The sequence below is a fragment of the Homo sapiens genome, chromosome 21 (assembly GCF_000001405.40).
Source record: "Homo sapiens chromosome 21, GRCh38.p14 Primary Assembly".
NCBI lineage: Eukaryota > Metazoa > Chordata > Mammalia > Primates > Hominidae > Homo > Homo sapiens.
In genome coordinates, this window is record NC_000021.9 from 36868607 (window position 1) to 36888872 (window position 20266).

Consider the following 20266-nt stretch of genomic DNA (forward strand, 5'->3'; position numbering starts at 1 on the left):
ATATCTTTCCATAAAATATAAAGAAAATGATGACCAAAATAAAAATAGTCATAAAAAAAAAAGGCGTCATGAGAACATTGTCTGGCACTCACACTCTGGAAAGGGGAAAAAACAATTGGCTGGCACGACGACTTTGTCCCCACGGAGCGTTGTACCGTACAAGCATTCTTCCACCAGGCTACCATGTGAGTGTGGGCAGTTGTCCCCATCTCAGGGTCTCCGGAACCTGGGAGAAGTCCATCCACCCTAGTCTGGGAGACAGCACAGGCTCCAGGAGACGAAGTGAAGGCTCTGTCCCCTGCCAGCCATCAGGTATAGTACAACCTCCCTCTCTCCAAGGGACAGTTTCTTCCAATGAAAAACTGAGGCACCGCACAGGTTGTGTCTGAGATACGACTCCTCGCATTCAAGTCTCAGCTGGAAGGCCCTAAGGAAACAACTGCAACTTTTTTTCAATGACCTGAGTCCATGCATTAAGCAAAAGATGTTTAATTTATTTATTTATTTATTTATTTATTTATTTATTTATTTATTTTGAGACAGAGTCTCGCTCTGTCACCCAGGCTGGAGTGCAGTGGTGCGATCTCGGCTCACTGCAAGCTCCGCCTTCCAGGTTCACGCCATTCTCCCGCCTCAGCCTCCGGAGTAGCTGGGACTACAGGCGCCCGCCACCACGCCCGGCTAATCTTCTAATCTTTTGTATTTTTCGTAGAGACAGGGTTTCACCGTGTTAGCCAGGATGATCTCGATCTCCTGACCTCGTGATCCGCCCACCTCGGCCTCCCAAAGTGCTGGGGTTACAGGCGTGAGCCACCGTGCCCAGCCCAAACGATGTTTAATTTTAGATGAGTTTCTTTCCCCATCTCAGCATCTACCAGAAAAGAGATTTTCATTTTCAAACCTCATTTCTTTCCTAAGGATTACCCATGCAAACTGCATTTCATACTTTCAAAATGCCCTTTGCTTATTAAAAAGCACTGTGAGAACACAGACATGCTTAAGAAATTTCATGATACACGGAGAACAAAAAAATTCTACTTTTGATCATTCTCATCTTTACCAGACTTGCTTAGTACAATTAAATTATCCACCCTAAAATAAATTTTCTTCTAGATACCATATCCTTATTTTGTTAATCCTCCATCTTAAGTGTATTGATGTCCTTAATCTTGTGTTTATAACATCTGGGTTAAAATCACAGACTCACAGAACAAATCCAACCCCCCTACTTAAAGAGAAAGAACAGAGGTCTTCCACCTAGAATCATTTTATGAACAATAGGGGAACTTTAACTTCTGGGAAAACCCTAGATTCCTGCTTTGGAATCCTTTAGGAGTGGGAACAGGAATATGAACAGGAGAAAACCACCTTTAAAATAAAACCCGTGAACCCTAGTTATAGCACCTTTGAATTGCAAAGAATCTGAGAAGTTGTTTGCCACGATTTTAAAATTAATTCCACACCAAAGCATGCATGTTTTTCATTTAAGAGACTTCAGAAATTGACTCTGAAGGACTGTCAGCAGCGAAACCTGGTTGCTTTTGTGTCTCGCCCCAGTACTGCTATTAGGAGTGCAGCCTCTGGCCACCAGTGACCTGGACACACACCCAGCTACCCCTCTGAGAAGCTGCGTCTGGACCACTGCATCTCCCCGGGAACCTCATTGACACCACAGGCTTATTACCATGAAGGGGTGGGGGGAGGAAGAAAAGAGAATACACCTAAGTTCTCCTTAGCAGGCCTGATACGGTCTTAACAGTCACTCTCATGATTATTAGCTATTAATTCCTTATTTTTCTTAGTTATTACTTGCATGATTTTCACTTATATGAGCATATTTCCCCCACCATTTCTTAAAGTATCTTCCCATATAATTATTAATTTTAAAACTAGGTTATCAATAAATAGACCTATATTTCTACCTATGTCATCCTCCAACGGTTATTGATAAATTTGCTACCTTTGCAGATATGAGGATTTTCATCTCAGCTTTCCAGTGAGAAGTGATTGTTTCGGAATCATAGTTACAAGTTTCCCTTAAAGTAACTGGAAGTCTTAAAAGGGGGCTTCATGACAAAACATCACATGAGGAAAAATATCTTAAGGACTAGTTAGCAGTGAGAATTTTCAATAAAATCATGAGCTAGAGATATCAAGGCTAAAATTCAAATACTAAGAGAAGAAAATGTTCCTAACTCCCACAGGTCTGGTCCAACTGTTTTAAAAGACCTGGGCAGAAGGGTTTGGAAAATGGCATCTAAGAAGGAGGAAAATTTAGCACCTACACCCCAGCCCTGGCCCCCCACTCCACCTTCAACTGGAGCCTTAGAGAGGCTCTTTTGAGCAATTATAGAGTAAAATTACATCAGAATATACATTAATGAGAGTATTTTCAATAATGCAAACGCTGCTAATTATATCTTTTCTTTTTAACACGAGGTAGAACATTTTACAGCAACCCTGAGACCGGCCGTGTGCCCAGCAGGGAGCCTCGTATTCCGCACACACTTGGAAAGGCCATGACAGCAGGCTGCATGATATGAGGTGTGAGAAATGAAAACTTTATGTGCATACAAATTTAGATTTTTAAAATATTTTCACTAGGGGCATAAATAAAGAGAAATTAGACCACTGGGATTTCAGAAAACGAGAATACAGACTGTGATTTTTGTTTTAAATTTTGGTACTTAGAGTACCCCAATACCTAAAGAAGTAAATAATTCAGCAAGTTACCAAAAGTAACACTTCACTTTTAACTTTATACTTTTTATATAATTTGAGCTATTTTGTTCAAGGAAGGAGAGAAAATTGCACACATTTAAATAAAAGAAAGGAGACAAGGAAGGAAAACAAAGGGACACAGGCACCACCACAGACGGCCCTTTATCAGGCTACCATGACACATCCATGCAACAAGGGCTACCAAAAACGCTACGAAAATACAATTTCCATCAATTTACACTGATTTTTATTATACCATAGCACTTGAAAAAACTGTCCACAGTTATTTGCCCCCATTATAAAAATATTGACACTTTACCACAAGGTTGGAATTTAGCATGAACATCCACATACCCACCACCTAGACAAGTCACATACTGGGAGTTAATATTCGCAAAACATATATCTGAAAAAGGACTGGTATCTGAGATATACAAAGAACTTCTACAACTCAATAATAAAATGACAAGTACCCCAACTTCAAAATGGGCAAAAGATTTGAACAACATTTCACAAATTAAGAATGCCAGCAGTGTAATAGGTACAATAAGTATAATCATCCTCAACAATATCTGTTTTCAGGAAAATGCAGATTGAAAGCACAGTGAGATACAACTGCACACCCACCAGACCAGTTGAAAGTAAAAGACTGACCACACCAAATATTGGTGAAGATGTAGAGGACCACCTACCATTAACATTTTCTTATACTTGCTTTAGTACATATCAACCTATGCATCCAGCCATTAATTCATCTTCTTGCTTTATGCCTTTCAATGTAAATTGCAGATATACCCTTTAATACTTCAGCTGGGCTGGGCGCGGTGGCTCACACCTGTAATCCTAGCACTTTGGGAGGCTGAGGCGGGCGGATCACAAGGTCAGGAGATAGAGACCATCCTGGCTAACATGGTGAAACCCCGTCTCTACTAAAAATACAAAAAAATTAGCCAGGCGTGGTGGCGGGCGCCTGTAGTCCCAGCTACTCGGGAGGCGGAGTTTGCAGTGAGCCGAGATCGCACCAGTGCACTCCAGCCTGGGTGACAGAGCGAGCCTCTGTCTCAAAAAAAAAAAAAAAACTTCAGCTGCATACCATTAACTAGAGTTCAATATTTTAGTTTTTATGTAAAATTGGCCTACCTTGATATGCTAAGATCTGCTGGGTTTTGACAAATGTGTACACCACCGCCAATCCCAGAAACAACCATTCTTCTAATTTTCTCCCACCATAGATTAGATGTGTCTGTTCTTCAATTTCATAAAATGGAATAGCACACTATGTACTTGTTCATGGGATGTTTCTTTCACTCTGCATAATGTTTTTGAGATTCGTGCAAGCTCATTCCTTTTTATTGCTAAGTAGTGTACCTTTGTATAAATATGCTACAGTTTATCCATTCATCTGTCAGTGGACATCTAGGTTGCTTCCAGGTTTTGGCAATTACAAATAAGCTTCTATGAATACGACCTACAAGTCTGCATAGACATGTATTTTTGTTTATCTTGGGTAAATATCTAGGGATGGGGTTACAGGGTAGGCATATGTGTGCTTTTATTTAAAAATTGCTCCACTATTTTTTTTCAAAATGGTCGTATCATTTTATATTCCCACCAACGATGTTCAGAAATTGCAGTTCCTCTACAACTTCACCAATATTTGGTGTGTCAGTCTTTTCATTTTCAGCTGATCTGGGGGATATGCAGTGGTATCTCACTGTGCTTTTAATCTGCATTTTCCTGAAAACAGATATTGTTAAGGATTATTACACTTATTATACTGCTGGCATTCTTCTTTTTTTTTGTTTGTTTGAGACAGAGTCTCGCTCTGTCGCCAGGCTGGAGTACAGTGGCACAATCTCGACTCACTGCAACCTCCACCTCCCGGGTTGAAGCGATTCTCCTGCCTCAGCCTCCCCAGTAGCTGGGACTACAGGCGTGTACCACCACACCAAGCTAATTTTTGTATTTTTAGTAGAGACAGGGTTTCACCATGTTGGCCAGGATGGTCTCGATCTCTTGACCTTGTGATCCGCCTGCCTCAGCCTCCCAAAGTGCTGGGATCACAAGCGTGAGCCACCACACCCAGCCATTGCTGGCATTCTTAATTTGTGAAGTGTTGTTCAAATCTTTTGCCCATTTTTAAATTGGAGTATTTGTCATTTTATTACTGAGTTGTAGAAGTTCTTTGTATATGTCAGATACGAGTCCTTTGTCAGACATATGTTTTGCAAATATTAACTCCCAGTGTGTGACTTATCTATTCATTTCCTCATCAGTACCTCTTGATGAGCAGAATTTTTCTTTTTAGAGACAGGGTGTCACTCTGTCATCCAGCCTGAAGTGCAGTGGTGCAATCATATCTCACTGCAGCCCTGACCTTTTAGGTTCAGGCCTCCTGGGCAACTGGGACCACAGGCATGTGCCACCACATCCAGCTAATTTTAAAAATATTTTGTAGAGATGGAGTTTCACTATGTTGCCCAGGCTGGTCTCAAACTCCTAGGATCAAGCTATCCTCCTGCCTTGACCTCTCAAAATGCTGAGATTACAGGAATGAACCACTGCACCTGGCTAGAATTTTTAAATGAAGTCTAACATCATTTTTCTTTTATAGTTATTGCTTTCTGTCATCAGTTTAAGAAATTTCTTCTTAGTCGCAAGTCATGAAGATATTGTTTTCCTTTAAAACTTTACGATTTTTCACTTCTGTATTAAGGTCTATGATTCATCTCAAATCAATTTTCCTGTATGAGGTGAAGTACAGCACAAGATTCCCTTCTTTTCCTATATGGAGCACATATCTACTTACTGTATCACCACTTCTTGAAAACACATTTCTTTCCCCATCGGATTGCTTTAACACCTGTCTCAAAAATCAAAGGCCCTAACACAGTGAAACCCCGTCTCTACTAAAAATACAAAAAATTAGCCAGGTGTTGTGGTGGGCGCCTGTAGTCTCAGCTACTCGGGAGGCTGAGGCAGGAGAATGGCATGAACCCAGGAGGTGGAGCTTGCAGTGAGCCGAGATCGCGCCACTGCACTCCAGCCTGAGCGACAGAGCGAGACTCCGTCTCAAAAAAATAAAATAAAATAAAATAAAATAAAATAAATAAATTAAAAAGCCAATAAGGTGCAGATCTATTTCCAGGGTATTCTGCTCTATTGTTCTATTTTCTTGTTAATGCCAGTACCATATAGCTTTGATTATTGTCATTTTATAGTAAGTCTTAAAGTTAAGTAGTATGACTTCTCCACCAACTTTGTTCTAAATTACTTTCTCCATTATAGAACTTTTGCATTTCTATGTACATGTTAGAATTAGTGAGGACGTGGTGGCCCATCTGGAGCAGCCACTGTGGGGACACCAGCTGCAATGGGGGAGGTGTGGCCAGGGCTGCTGCACTCCATGGAGCTAACACAGGCCAGGAATGGGCGGGAGCCCTGCCCCCTACCAAGTCGGCTGGGCAGGAGCCCCATGCTCCCAGGTGCAGCTGCGGCCACCCAGCCACGGCTCTGGACCCAGGCATCCCTGCACTCTCGGGGGTCCAGGAAGCACCCCCGGTCCCTGCAGGCTTGGAAGTGCCTACTCGCACTCCCTGGCCTCTCCCCGCTCCCGGCACCCACTTCAGTGCAAAGTTGTAGCCAAGCGCGGGTGCTGTCATGACCCAGCCAGGTGTGCACATATGCAGAGTAGCCAGCACTCCCCTCCCCGACTGGTGCTTCAGCCCCCTCTAGACTTTGGTCACCAATGAACGCAGGAGGGAGACCAGAGGACTAAGCGTGACTTTGTACAGGCCTGTGGGTGCCCCTCAGCATAGACAGCTGGGCACCACGGACAGCATGTTGATGGCAGCGGGAGGCAGACAGGCTCCTAAGCAGGAAGAAGCCAGTTCCTGGTGAAACCACACCTTCAAGCCTGAAGCCTGGGCTCCAGGCTGCCAGTTCCAGGTGAGGTCCACGGCCTGGAGTGAGAATTTCATTGACAACTGTTTGGCCATTCGGATGGTGCTTTTTCCAGGACCAGCCAGGGACACCCAAGGACCAGTCAGCACACACTTCCTCCATTGTGACAACATAAAAACCCCAGATTCAGCCACTCACACTCTCCTCTGGAAGACCCCGCTGAGAGCTGGACACATGTCGGGACAACCTGTCTGCAGAAAGGAGCTACCCACCATGGGTCTCCTCTTCGCTGAGAGCCAGACAGATGTTGGGATAACATGTCTGCGGAAAGGAGCTACACACTACAGGTCTCCTGTCCACTAAGAGCTGGACACTCATCGGGACGATCTGCCTGCAGGAAGGAGCTACCCACTTCAAGTCTCCTGAGAGCTGTTCTGCCACTCAATGAAGCTTCTCTCTGCCTTGCTCGCCCTCCAATTGTCCACATACCTCCTTCTTCCTGGATGCAGGACAAGAACTTGGGACCTGCCCAATGGTGGAACTAAGAGAGCTGTAACACAAACAGGGGCAACGTCCCCCTGCTCGCCATGTTGCAGGTGATGAGGAGAGAAGAGAGGCAGCTCTTCGGGGAGCCAGACCTAGGGGCTCCCCAAGCCAGGGCTGTGACACCCTCTTTGGGGCTCTGCAGTTCCTGGTGTCTCCAAGTTTCTGGATGCCACCACATTCCCCTTGTCTAGGTGCTGGTGCCTGCAGCAGAAGCCACTTGTGGTACATCTGATCTAGCCTCAGCCTTGCACGGAGGCAGCACCCGTGCCAGGGCATGGAGCTGCCTGCCCCACCGCAGCAGCCACTGTGCACTGGCCTGCCTGTGCACAGTGGCCAGACCCCAAGCTTGCTCGTTCACAACCCCTCGCCAGTGTGCGCCTGGCTCACCCGTGGCAGGCATGGGATCCAGGCTGAGAGTGCGAGCCAAGTGCAGCCTGCCAGGGCTGAATGAGCCCAGCAGGCCCGAACAAAACTCAGGCAAAGGTACCACCAGCCACAGAGGTTTCTGGCTGGAAAAGCAATACTCTAAGGATCCTGTGACATTTTCGTATACATTTCCACAAAAATACCTGCCGTGATTTTGATTGAGCTTGTACCAAATTCGTACATCAACTTACAGCAAACTGGCATTTTACCAGTACTAACTCTTCCAAACCATGATCATGGTTTCTCTACGTAGGTCTTATGCAGTTTCAAAACAGTTCGTACTTTCCCTTGTGATTTCTTGCTTGACCAATGGACTATTTAGATGTGTGCTGTTTACTTTCTAAATACTTGTGGGTTTCCTAGATCCATTTTTGTTATTGATTTCTAATTTAATTCCATGGTGGACAGGGAATATACTCTGTGATTTCAATCACTTTAGGCTTTTGGAGACTTGTTTTATGACCCAGCACATAGTCTACCTTGGTGAACATACCAAGCACACTTGAAACAAGGTGAGTTTGGCAAGGTATAGTGTTCTGGAAGTATTAGGTATCAGGAAGGTGAAAGTGGTTGAGAGTGTTATCCAGATTATCTATGTTTTTCATGATTTTTGGTTAGCTGTTCCATCATGGGCTAAGAGAGCATTGCTGAAATCTCCAACTATGACGGTGGACTTCTCTATTTCTTTTATTCTGTCCATTTTTGCATCATATACTTTAAAGCTCTGTTATTAGGTAAATACACATCCATGAGTTGTTATCTGTTCTCTATGAATTACCCCTATTGTCACTGTGAAATATCCCTCCCCATCTTTTGTACTTCTTTGTCTTAAAGTGAATTTTGTCTGCTGCTTAAAAAGTCACTCCAACCTCCTTAGGCTGTTAATGTGGTATATAATTTCCTATCCTTTTACTTCTAACCTGTGTCTTTATAATTGAAGTGTGTCTTGAAGAGAACATATACTCAGGTCTTGCTTTTTAAAAAATCCATTCTAACATTTTCTGCCTTTTAATAACAGGGCTTAGTCTATTATCATTTAATGTAAATATTGATAAGGTTGAATTGAGTTAAACCATTTGGTTAATTTTTATTTTTTTCTCTCTTTTTTTTGTGTGTGTTTCTAGTCCTCTTTTCCTGACTTCTTTTAGATTTTTTTTTTAGAATGGCATTTTATCTATTGGCTTTTGAACTGTATCTTTTGCCTTATGTGTTTAGTGGTTATCCTAGGGATTACAATGTACATCCTTACCTTTTATATCAACTTAGCATTAATATTGTACCATGTCAGATCAAATGCAGAAATGTTACAATCTTATAGGTCCATTTACCACCCCTTTGTTGTTCCTTTTTGCTAGAGTTGTCATATGTATTCTACCAATGAATGTAAGACTATGTAAGATGATGCTACAATTTTGCTTTAGGTAGATATATGTGTGTTGGGGGAGTATTTTAAATTTACCCAGATATTTGTCCAGAGAGCATTCCTTCCTAAAGACTCAAGTTTCCCTCTAGTGTTTTTCCTTTCACCTTTTGAAACTTCCTTTGGCATTTCCTTCCAGCAGACCTGCACTATGACACATTATCTTAGTGTTCTTTTACCTGGACATGTATTTTGCCATCATTATTGAAACATTTTGTTGGATATGGAATTCTGGGTTGACAAGTTTATCTTCCTTGAGCCCTCTAAAAATATTGTTCCACTCTCTTCTGGCTTTAATAATTTCTGAGAAAAAGTCCACAGACATTCAAATCATTGTTCCTCACTGCATGAAATGCTGTTTTCCTCAGATTACTTTCAGTACTTGTTTTTTTTTTTAATCTTTGGTCTGCAGCAGTTGGACTATAATATGCCTAGATGTATTTTCATCATATTCATCTGGCTTGGAGTTTGCTGAACTTCTTGAGCCTGGAAATTTATGTCTTCTGCCAAACTGAGGGAACATCTGGCCATCATTTTTTCAAATTTTTTTTCCATCTCTCCTACACATATATTAAACATTCTGATATTATCCATAGGTCCCTGAGGCTCTGTTTATTTTTTAAATCTTTTTCTCTCTTCTTCAGATTAGATAATTATTACTGTCTTATTTTCAAGTTCATAGAACCTGAGAACATGAAGATGATAAAATTACATTCTCTGTGGGTAATCATTGAAGGGTCATTGTGAACTAGACAGAAGCTAGAAGAAACATACAATTCTAATTTTAAAAGGAAATTGTACTAACCAGAGATATTCTATCCCAAGTGAAATTCAAGTAAATAAACGAAACTACTACTACTGAGCACCTATTAAAGGTCAGAAATTGTACTGGCACTTTCATACTTACCATTGTATTTAATTTAGATCACAGCTCATTAATAAAGGTATTACTGCCCACAATATACACATAGTAGTACAGAGGAACAAAAAAGTAACTTGTCCCACTAATTAGCTCAAGAGCTGAGACTTTAACTTAGGACTCCCGTTATAGCTTTACCACTCATCTCATTGAAAAAATAAAAAATTAAGAGAATTGTCAAGAGTTAGACATATTAGCTAGCCTGATTTTCTTTTGTAATAAGATTAGTATACAAGTAGATATTGGAAGTATGGGGAACATAGTACATTACGATTTCAGCAAAGCATCTGTCAGAAGTAATATAGTATTACAAACTAACAATTAGGGCTCTTAACACAGATAAAACTCTTAAATGCTGCTTCTATCACTTACTCTTTATGTCACTCTGTCCAAGCATTTAAACTCTCTAAGCTATAGCTTCCCCCTTATCTCTTTAAAGGGGAACCATGATGATACTATCTCACCAGGTTTTAGTTAAGACCGAATGGTAAAAATCTACAGAATGCATTTAGCATAGTACTGTCACATAGTAAATGGTAAATTAGTGTTAACTATTATTATTAAGGCATGATATCTCTTGAACAAAAATAATTGGAATATAACATAATTATGAATATTCATGAAGTATTGTAAACAACAGTTATTAACCCCATTCCTATTCAACTTCTGTCAATGTCTGCTTTGTTTTATAATTCACCAAGTATCTTCCAGAAAAGAAAGATTGTAATGGGGTCACTACAGAATTATACAGAACTGCTGGCTCAAAAAGAAATATGATTATTTATAATAGGAAATCACCAGCAATGACAAGAATGCATTCACAGAAGATTGCTTAAATAAATTATGATAGACTAATCTTGCACATGTAGTGTAGGAGGAAATAAAAGACTAGAAGGAGATACACCAGAAGATTAACATGATTCATATCTCTTCAACTAATTAACAAACATATTAAATACCATTTGGGAAAAGATTACATTTTTTTCAACAGTATTTGGATTCAGATTTCCATTTTGGAATGGGGTGGGTTTATAAGGAGCCATTCTGGGAGACAGAACTATCTCCAAGGTGACTGGAAGGGGATGCCTCAAGTTATAAGAGCTCAACAGACCAAGCACAGTGGCTCACACCTATAGTCCCAGAACTTTGGGAGGCCAGGAATTCAAAACCAGCCTTGGGCAAAAAAGTGAGACCTTGTCTCTACAAAAGCTACGAAAAGTTAGCCAAGCATGGTGGCACGCGCCTGTAGTCCCAGCTACTCAAGAGGCTGAGGTGGGAGGACTGCTTGAGCCCAGGAGTTCGAGGCTGCAGTGAGCCGAGATTGCACCACTACACTCCAGCCTGGATGACAGAGCAAGATCCCATCTCTTAAAGAAAAAAAAAAAAAAAAGAGCTCAGTAAATATTTGACTGAACAAATGGTAGGAAATTGCCCAGTATCTGGTGCTCAGACACATCCACAACACTGCAGAGGGCATTCAAGCCCTCTGGCCCCTGAGGTGCCTGCCAGAGTTTGGACAGACATTTGTTTGTCTGATTTAAGGTTCAGTAGAAGTCAAATCCCTCATTCGTTTCCAATGATGACAACATGGTGCTGGAAACATTTGGTGCACTTCATGACAATTTTCCAGGTATCAACAGTAAAAACAGAAACTGCCTGTAATCTTACAACGGTGCTCTATCTCCACTGCCTGGAACAAAGGTTCCAAGAAGGCCTCTTAGCAGTTAGGAAACATGCTCATATTTTGCAACAGAAAGAAGGGAAGAGGAGGCAGGAGAAGGAAGAAAAGAGAACAAGATCTGAAACGAAGCTAGAGAAGGCATTTTAATTGAGCTAAAAAACAAAACAAAACAAAACAAAAACAAATTCTAAAAGTAGCTCCACATCAGAGATTCACAGCCCAGGTTTGCAACATCTAAGTTTCTTGTATTACCTCAATGGGCATCACAGAATGCAAAAAAAAAAATCATATTACATTTCATCTTGTTTCCATTTATAAAAGAGAAGATGCCATAGGTTGTTTCCGGAAGTGGAAAGGGTATTGAAAATGAGTAGAAAGGATGAAAATAAAAACCAGGAAAGCAGGGAGATTGCCACGACTTGCAGAATCCACCTCGAACACTCCACCAGGATTCCAAGCATATCAGACCCCACACTCCGATTCCACGGCAGGTTCTATACTATGTTAGTAAGTCAAATAAGCTTTAACAAAACATCGAAATCCAAAATGTCAGCCACGACCTCATCCAAGACCACTCCACATCTGCCCAAACTCCCCTTACCCCTCCCAGAGCACTCCTTAGGGCGTGGGAGCCGAGGGGCATTTTCCACCACAGCTGAGTTCTTCACGCCACTGTATCATCCCCTCCTGCGTTCTGGGTGTTTGGGTTGGAAGCGATGCCAGCAGAGAGTTTTTGTTTGTTTGTTTGTTTGTTTGTTTGTTTGTTTTGAGATAGAGTCTCACTGTCACCCAGGCTGGAGTGCAGTGGCGTGATCTCGGCTCACTGCAACCTCCACCTCCCAGATTCAAGCAATCTCCTGCCTCAGCCCCTCAACTAGCTGGGACTACAGGTGTGCACCACCATGCCCGACTAATTTTTGTATTTTTAGTAGAGATGGGGTTTCACCATGTTGGCCAGGATGGTCTCAAACTCCTGACCTCAAGTGATCCACCTACCTCGGCCTCCCAAAGTGCTGGGATTACAGACGTGAGCCACCACGCCTGGCCCGGCAGAGATTTTTCTTCTCGGATATCACTCAGCTGTAATTGGAGACATCTGAACACCCACCCGGATCATCACCCCCACTCCCACCCCAGGAGCCACTTTGTCTAACAGGGGCATGGAACTCATTCGACTTTCCCTGGGTTCCAGAAGGAAACTCCAATTACTCAGCCACCACTACTGTTAGCGTGGGAAGCTGGGAAGCACGGAATGAAGCCGAGTTATGAATCATGCACACACAGACAGCTGTCGGGGGATGCATGCCAACCAGAGGGGCCACACATATTCCGTGTTGATGGGACAGCACCTGCAGGAGGCAGAGAGAACTTGTAACAGATCATATGAAATCCCCATTGCCGTAATTCCTTTTTGGAACAGGGCAGGGCATAAAAAGAAGTAATCCAGATGATCAGCCAGACATGAAAAGAAAAGAACTGTCCTCAGGCCAGCTGGGCCTCAGTGTCCGTGTTGGAAGGACACTTCCAGCTTTGGTGGTCTTGATGTCCATACCCTGAGGAACCTGGCCTCTGAGAAGGCTCCCAGGACCCATGTGGACAGGGGGGCTCTGCACCATTTTACTTGAAAGGGGGCTTTACAGGCATGGTGGCACGTGCCTTAATCCCAGCTACTAGGGAGGCTGAGGCAGGAGGATCACTTGAATCTGGGAAGCAGAGGTTGCAGTGAACCAAGATTGTGCCACTGCACTCCAGCTTGAGCAAGAGTGAGACTCCACGTCGGCCGGGCATGGTGGCTCACGCCTGTAATCCCAGCATTTTGGGAGGCCGAAGCGGGCGGATCCCAAGGTCAGATCATCGAGATCATCCTGGCTAACACGGTGAAACCCCGTCTCTACTAAAAATACAAAAAATTAGCCGGGCGTGGTGGCAGGTGCCTGTAGTCCTAGCTACTCGGGAGGCTGAGGCAGGAGAATGGCATGAACCCGGAAGGCGGAGCTTGCAGTGAGCCAGGATTGTGCCACTGCACTCCAGCCTGGGTGACAGAGCGAGACTTCGTCTTGGAAAAAAAAAATTAAGCCACAGATCTAGTATAACCCTCTAATCTCACAGATGAGAAACAGACCCGGAGAGGCTGAGTGATTCACCAACATCGCACAAGCTGCTGTGTCAAAATGGCAGGCAAGAAAGTTACAGTCTGAGATTTTGGGGTTTTTTTGTTTTGTTTTGTTTTGTTTTTGAAATAGAGTCTCACTCTGTCGCCCAGGCTGGAGTGCAGTGCCGCAATCTCAGCTCACTGCAACCTCCACCTCCTGGGTTCAAGCAATTCTCCTGCCTTAGCCTCCTGAGTAGCTGGGACTATAGGTGCGTGTCACCACGCCTGGCTAATTTTCTTTCTTTCTTTTTTTTTTTTTTTTTTTTTTAGTAGAGATGGGGTTTCTCCATGTTAACCAGGATGGCCTCGATCTCCTGACCTCGTGATCCACCCACCTCGGCCTCCCAAAGTGTTGGGATTACAGGTGTGAGCCACCGTGCCCGGCCCAGTCTGAGGTTTTTGTATTTCATTTTTAGGTAAATTCTGTATGCACATATTACCCAATTTTAAACTGAAAACTCTATTAGCATCAAGGTGACCTCTGGAACCAAAGGGCAAAGAAAGAGGCAGGTACAGACTTCCCCATCATTCCTCCTTCTCATCTCCTTGCCCTTCCACAACCAGGGAAAATCCTTCTCCGCCAGGCAATGACTTCATCGTTTCCTTCTCACTAATTTGAATACTCTTATGGGAGAGCCAAACAAAAAATGAAAATGATGAATGACTCCTTGTGCAATGCAGAAAAAATGTGGCGTTTGGGATCTCACAGTGACGGAATACCCCTCATGCAGAAACAGAACATGCTTCTCTCCAAAACAAAAAGCAGAAACAACAAAGGTATTTCAGAGCTCAGAAGGTGTTTTGCCAAATGGTAGGTGTGTAAAAGATTTTAAAGGGGCAGGTGAAAGCAAATCAACTCTCACCTCCAAAGCAGGTAACTGTTTTATTTGAAAGAAAAACAAAAGTTCCCTCTAAATAAGCCACAAAGCTAAGTCAGGGGAGAAAAAGAAATGGAAGAGAGGGATGCCTAACAAGTAGGAGGAAAAATACCTGCTGGGATAACTGGCACATTTATTTTAAACATTGACAGATTTTGACTAAAACATATTTTTAAGCCGGAACTCAACCTCTATCTGCACACCCCATGTGTCCAGGTGACTGGTCAGACCTCAATCATGAACACTAACGTCTAAGAATATCTAAAAAAGTTTCTACTTAGAAACTACTGTTAAATCATAATCCAAGTTTGGGCAATGCTGCTTTCTTATCATAGATTTCTTACTGCATCAGAATCTTGAAACATATGCTCAGGTTTTATTTGCAGTTTCCACTGTCGGTGGCTATCAGCAGCGCTGTGTGGGGAAAGCACCTGTCTTCCTTGGTAGCTGAAGAGGAGATTAAACCAACTCTTGGTGGCCACCCCACTCCGTGTCAGAGACTATGCAATGGGCTTTCCACAGCACCACCTGCTCTGACCTTCCCCACATGAATGGCTGCCAGGTCCGACCCGCAGACCATGGCTGAACAACGGATGAACAAATGCACTCAGACACAAGAATCCAGTGAAAGAGCAGGCTAGGGGACCCGGCCACCCACAGACACCAAGGAGGGTGCTGTAATGAGTCAGCAGCCACAGCCCCGAAAAGCCGGCACTGTGGGCATTTATTCAGTATAGATTTAATGACAAAGGCCTTGAGTCAACACATTTGTGGGCAATTCACATGGTCACCCAGACCCGGAGAGAGTAGTTCTGTGCGTGGATGCTTAAGGGCGAGGTTCCAAGGCCTAAGTAAACTAACTTACCTAGATCAGTTTATTTATATCCCCTTGTTATCTAACGTAAGCTTTCAGGCACCAGATAAAAGAATCTGGCTGCCTTCAGCCAAATCCTTTTCCGAAGCTTTTGTAAAACCTTCCAGCCTTCCAAGAAGGTTTGCATCTTCTGCAATTTTTCCCACCACCCTTACCAATCTCCTACAAATGGCATTACCATGAGTGGGCATTATTGCAGCTTGTCCATTTTAAGATGAGATGTCATGGAATTTGCCCCAGGCCAGTAGCCAATGAAGCTCCAGAGCCTGCCCTGCTTTCAGCATCCCATGCAGCCTTGCCCAGTGGGAAACCAGACTTCTAATAAACTCAGGCTGGTTATTCCAAGGTCATGTCTTTGGCCCTTCTGCTAAAGAATAACTCCTTTACAATCTAAAGACTAGAGTGGAAGCAGTTCCAACCCTCAGCAGATTCAGCTCACTACTAAACTAAAATCAACACATTTGGATTTTTCTCTAAGGTAAACCTGAACTGGGGGGAAAAGAGCATAGAGAAGTCCCTGTCACCCTCTTTATTGATTATCTTTTCTAACCCTAAACCTTGCCTTATTACCTTTTGTGGTCTTTTATTGCTTGTTTAAATAAAACAGAGGCATTTGACAAAATGAATATTAAATGTAGTTACAATCAAGCAATTCTGCAGAGTAATAAACATCTGGGGTTTTTTTTAGAGCTTAAAGAGAATGTAGTAATGTCAGGTGCACGTGTTTCTGACTGTCATGGAAGGTTCAGGGGTCTCAGGAAGGTGTGGGTGATGCACAAGGCATATCCAAGGGACTGCGAAAATGTTCAAACCACTGCAGATTTGGCTCTTTTGAAATGACTGTGAATTACCTGTGAAAATGATAACTAAAGGGTTAAGATTTCAAAAAAAGAGAAGGTTCAATGAAAAAGAGACTTGCTTCACATATAAGAGAAACACAAACATGGACAACTGACTATGTTTTCTCATCTTTCAAAAAAAGTTGGACTAAAATATTTTTGGCACAACAGTAACCAGCAACAAACAATTGGTTCTAGTATGAGAAAAAAACTGTCGAAATCTTCAAACAAAAACTCCATTCCAAGAAAACACCTACCACACCAGGCACGGTGGCTCATGCCTATAATCCCAGCACTTTGGGAGGCCAAGGTGGGAGGATCGCTTAAATTCAACAGTTCAAGGCCAACCTGGGTAACATAGTGGGACCCCTGTCTCTACAAAAAATTTAAAAATTATCCAGGCATGGTGGCTCACGCCTGTGGTCCCAGCTACTCGGGACGCTGAGGTGGGAGGATCACTTGGGCCCAGGAAGTTGAGACTGCAGTGAGCCATGATCAGACCACTGTACTCCAGCCTGGGTGACAGAGCAAGATCCTGTCTCAAAAAAAAAAAAAAAAAGATACACATATCACAGTCCTGAACACAGACCACACCAATCTGTTTCATGGACGTCCACAGCACTGCTGCTGAAGGATGCGTTATAAAGGCTAAAAAGAATTGCACACAAAGTTTAAATAATAATGAGAGTTCCATAAATATTATCTATGTACTAAGAGTCTGCTGACATATTATCTCGGCGCATCCTCACCCTATCCAGTGAGGCACCCTGAAGGAGGGCCCCACATCTTCTCTATTCCCCATGGGTCCCAGAGCCTCACACAGGATCTTGCACACAGCTGGTGTGCCAGAGAAAGTAGTTAAGTAATTAAACTTTTTATTTTTAAGTAGACTATTACCAGCTACATGACACAGATAAGGAAATAGAGGCATAAAAGGTTACTGATTTTCCCAAGTTTACTCGTCTAATAAATTGGGATTCCAAACCAGGGCCAGCAGGACCCCATCCCAAGATCTAAGTAATGTAAAATGAATGAACCACGGGCTGATATGCAATTTCTGCAAATACTTTCTACCCCAGCTTTTCTACCATGTTATCTACTTTTTTTTTTTTCCTAAAAGTCTCATACACCCTCAAAAGATGAAGACTGCCACCATTGAGAACATTCAAAAGATAGGTGCTGTTGGCCAGGCACCGTGGCTCAGGCCTGTAATCCCAGCACTTTGGGAGGCCGAGACGGGCGGATCACGAGGTCAGGAAATCGAGACCATCCTGGTGAACACGGTGAAACCCCGTCTCTACTAAAAATACAAAAAAAATTAGCCGGGCGTGGTAGCAGGTGTCTGTAGTCTCAGCTACTTGGGAGGCTGAGGCAGAAGAATGGCGTGAACCCGGAAGGCAGAGCTTGCAGCGAGCTGATATCGCACCACCGCACTCCAGCCTGAGCAACAGAGCGAGACTCCATCTCAAAAAAAAAAAAAAAAAAAAAAAGATGGGTGCTATGGGTTTGAAAGAGCTTCAGCAGAATCCCTGCCATGGCTGGGCAGCTTGCCCTACCCTGAAGGAGGCCATGTTCGCTCCACTCCAGGTGACATTCACTCCTGCTGTTCTGCGCAGTCAAATTTGGGATGCTTCAAGTTGTCCAATAGTAAAATGATACTCAACTGCAATGGATTGAATGTTTGTGTTCCCTCCCCAACCCTCTGTCAAAATTCATGTGTTGAAATCCCAGCCCCCAATGTGATGGTAATCACTTTTGCAGGTGATTAAGTCATGAGGGTGGAGCCCTAACTAATGGGATTAATGCCCTTCTATCTGAGGACCGTTGAGAGCTCTCTCACCCTCTTTCTGCCATGTGCGGATACAAGAAGTCAGCAGTCAGCAGGGTCTGGTGGCTCATGCCTGTAATCCCAGCACTTTGAAAGGCCGAGGCAGGAGGATCATTTGAGGTCAGGGGTTCGAGACCAGACTGGCCAACATGGTGAAACCCTGTCTCTACTAAAAATACAAAAAAAATTAGCTGGGTGTGGTGGCACATGCCTGTAATCCCAGCTGCGCAGGAGGCTGGGGCAGGATAATTGCTTGATCCCCGGAGACAGAGGTTGCAGTGAGCCAAGATCCTGCCACTGCACTCCAGCCTGGGCCACAGAGTGAGATTCTGTCTCAAAAAAAAAAAAAAAAGTCAGCAGTCTACAATCTAGAAGATAATTTGACCAAGCCGGGTAGCACCTTGATCTCAGACTTCTAGCCTCCAGAACGGTGAGAAACAAATTTCTGTTGTTTATAGGCCATTCAGTGGATGCCACTTTGTTACTGCACCCCGGAATGATGAAGACATCAACATCAACGCTGAGAGGACACTGGGACGGCTCAGTTCTAATGAAAATGCACCTAAATAGAACACATTATCACTATCACAAAATGGTAAACATCAAAATAACTCTACCATACTTGAAAAATCGGTGACAAAATATGAAAATAAACAACCAAGAACACTAAAAATTAATGTAGAAGCTTCTCTGAAAAATACCAGGCCACAGAATAATTCAACTTCAGGAGCTTGGCATGTGAAAGGTTAACTTATTCAGGTGTTGAATTGGAACAACAAAAAAAATTTGATGGAGAATTTGCCAGAATAACCCTTCAGTCACAACCGTTGCCAAAGTCAAAGGCCAAAGTTATATTTTAAATTTTAGAAGTAAACATTAAAATGAAGGTTTCTTAAAATTCTCCAATAATTTTCACTTTTAAAGTACCAAACTGACACATAAAAAAATTCGTGCTAATTATCCCAAGCAATCAACTTCTTTAAAACCCTTTATTTCACAATTACGCTAATATCCCATTAATTTGGGACACTTACCAATGTATTTATTCTTTGCTCATTACCTATGTGCACATTAAGAGTACACCAATAACACAATACAGGCATTAATATGTAAAACATCAACAAAAGCCATCTGGAAAGCTAATGAATAATCAAGGGATTTCAAATTAAACTACAGAATTTTCCCTTAGAATCTTTAGGACAACACTGTCAAGCTCAATCTATTCACTTCGCCTCCAGAATCAATTTTTCAAACTTTATGACAGGTCTAATCGCTTCCACCTGTGTCTCCAGCTTGACTCTTGACTGGCATGCTACCAGCCAGGGTGGAAATGTAGACAAAGACCCCTATTAGGATCCGGCTGTTTCTCTACTGTGAGGTCACTCAGCCATTAAATTAGTTCCAGCCCAATTTCTGTCCTCTCGGGCCTCGACTTCAGGGGAGGAGGGTGCAGAGTTGAGTCAGTTAGCAGCACAGACCCAGAAGGGAAGAAAAGGGGGAAAAGATGTTTGGGACTGACTAGGTAGGTGTGCACAAAGCTGAAAAGCTGGAGTTGGTCCCAAACTCTGAAATCGAAATACTATCTTTCTTAAATGACTGCAGCTATTCTCCCCAATGCGATCCTGCCCCCTTCCCATTTAAAAAAAAAAAAAATATATATATATATATATATATATATATATATATATATATATATATATATATTTATTTATTTATTTTATGGGATTGTGTTTCCTTTTCTTCTCCTTCATTTGTAGAAAGTCAACTGTCTCCCACACAACATTTCCTCAACTCACATGAGGCTGATTCACAAAACTAGCTCAGCAACCTAAAAGCGCCAGAAGTCACTGAGAGATAAAAGGCTGGTTGGTGGAGGCTCTGGCGTGGGCGCATCACCAGGTCAAAGGAGGTGAGCTGAAGATGCCTGGAGAGCATCTAGTGTTCCAACGCCCCTGATCTCACAGCTGAAGACAGTAAGGCTCAGGGAGGAGAGACTGTCAAGGTCACAGAGCTAGTGAATGACAAAGTCTTGGTTCCAGCATTTTCCCTACTAGATTACGAGCTCTACAGCATCAGAAA

General features: G+C 42.9%; 1 protein-coding gene across 14 annotated transcripts in view; it reads right to left on the reverse strand.

The window, feature by feature from the left end:
* Positions 1 to 20266, reverse strand: part of HLCS (holocarboxylase synthetase) — a 241587-nt gene that overhangs the window by 119982 nt on the left and 101339 nt on the right. The gene's annotated exons all lie outside the window — the stretch shown is intronic.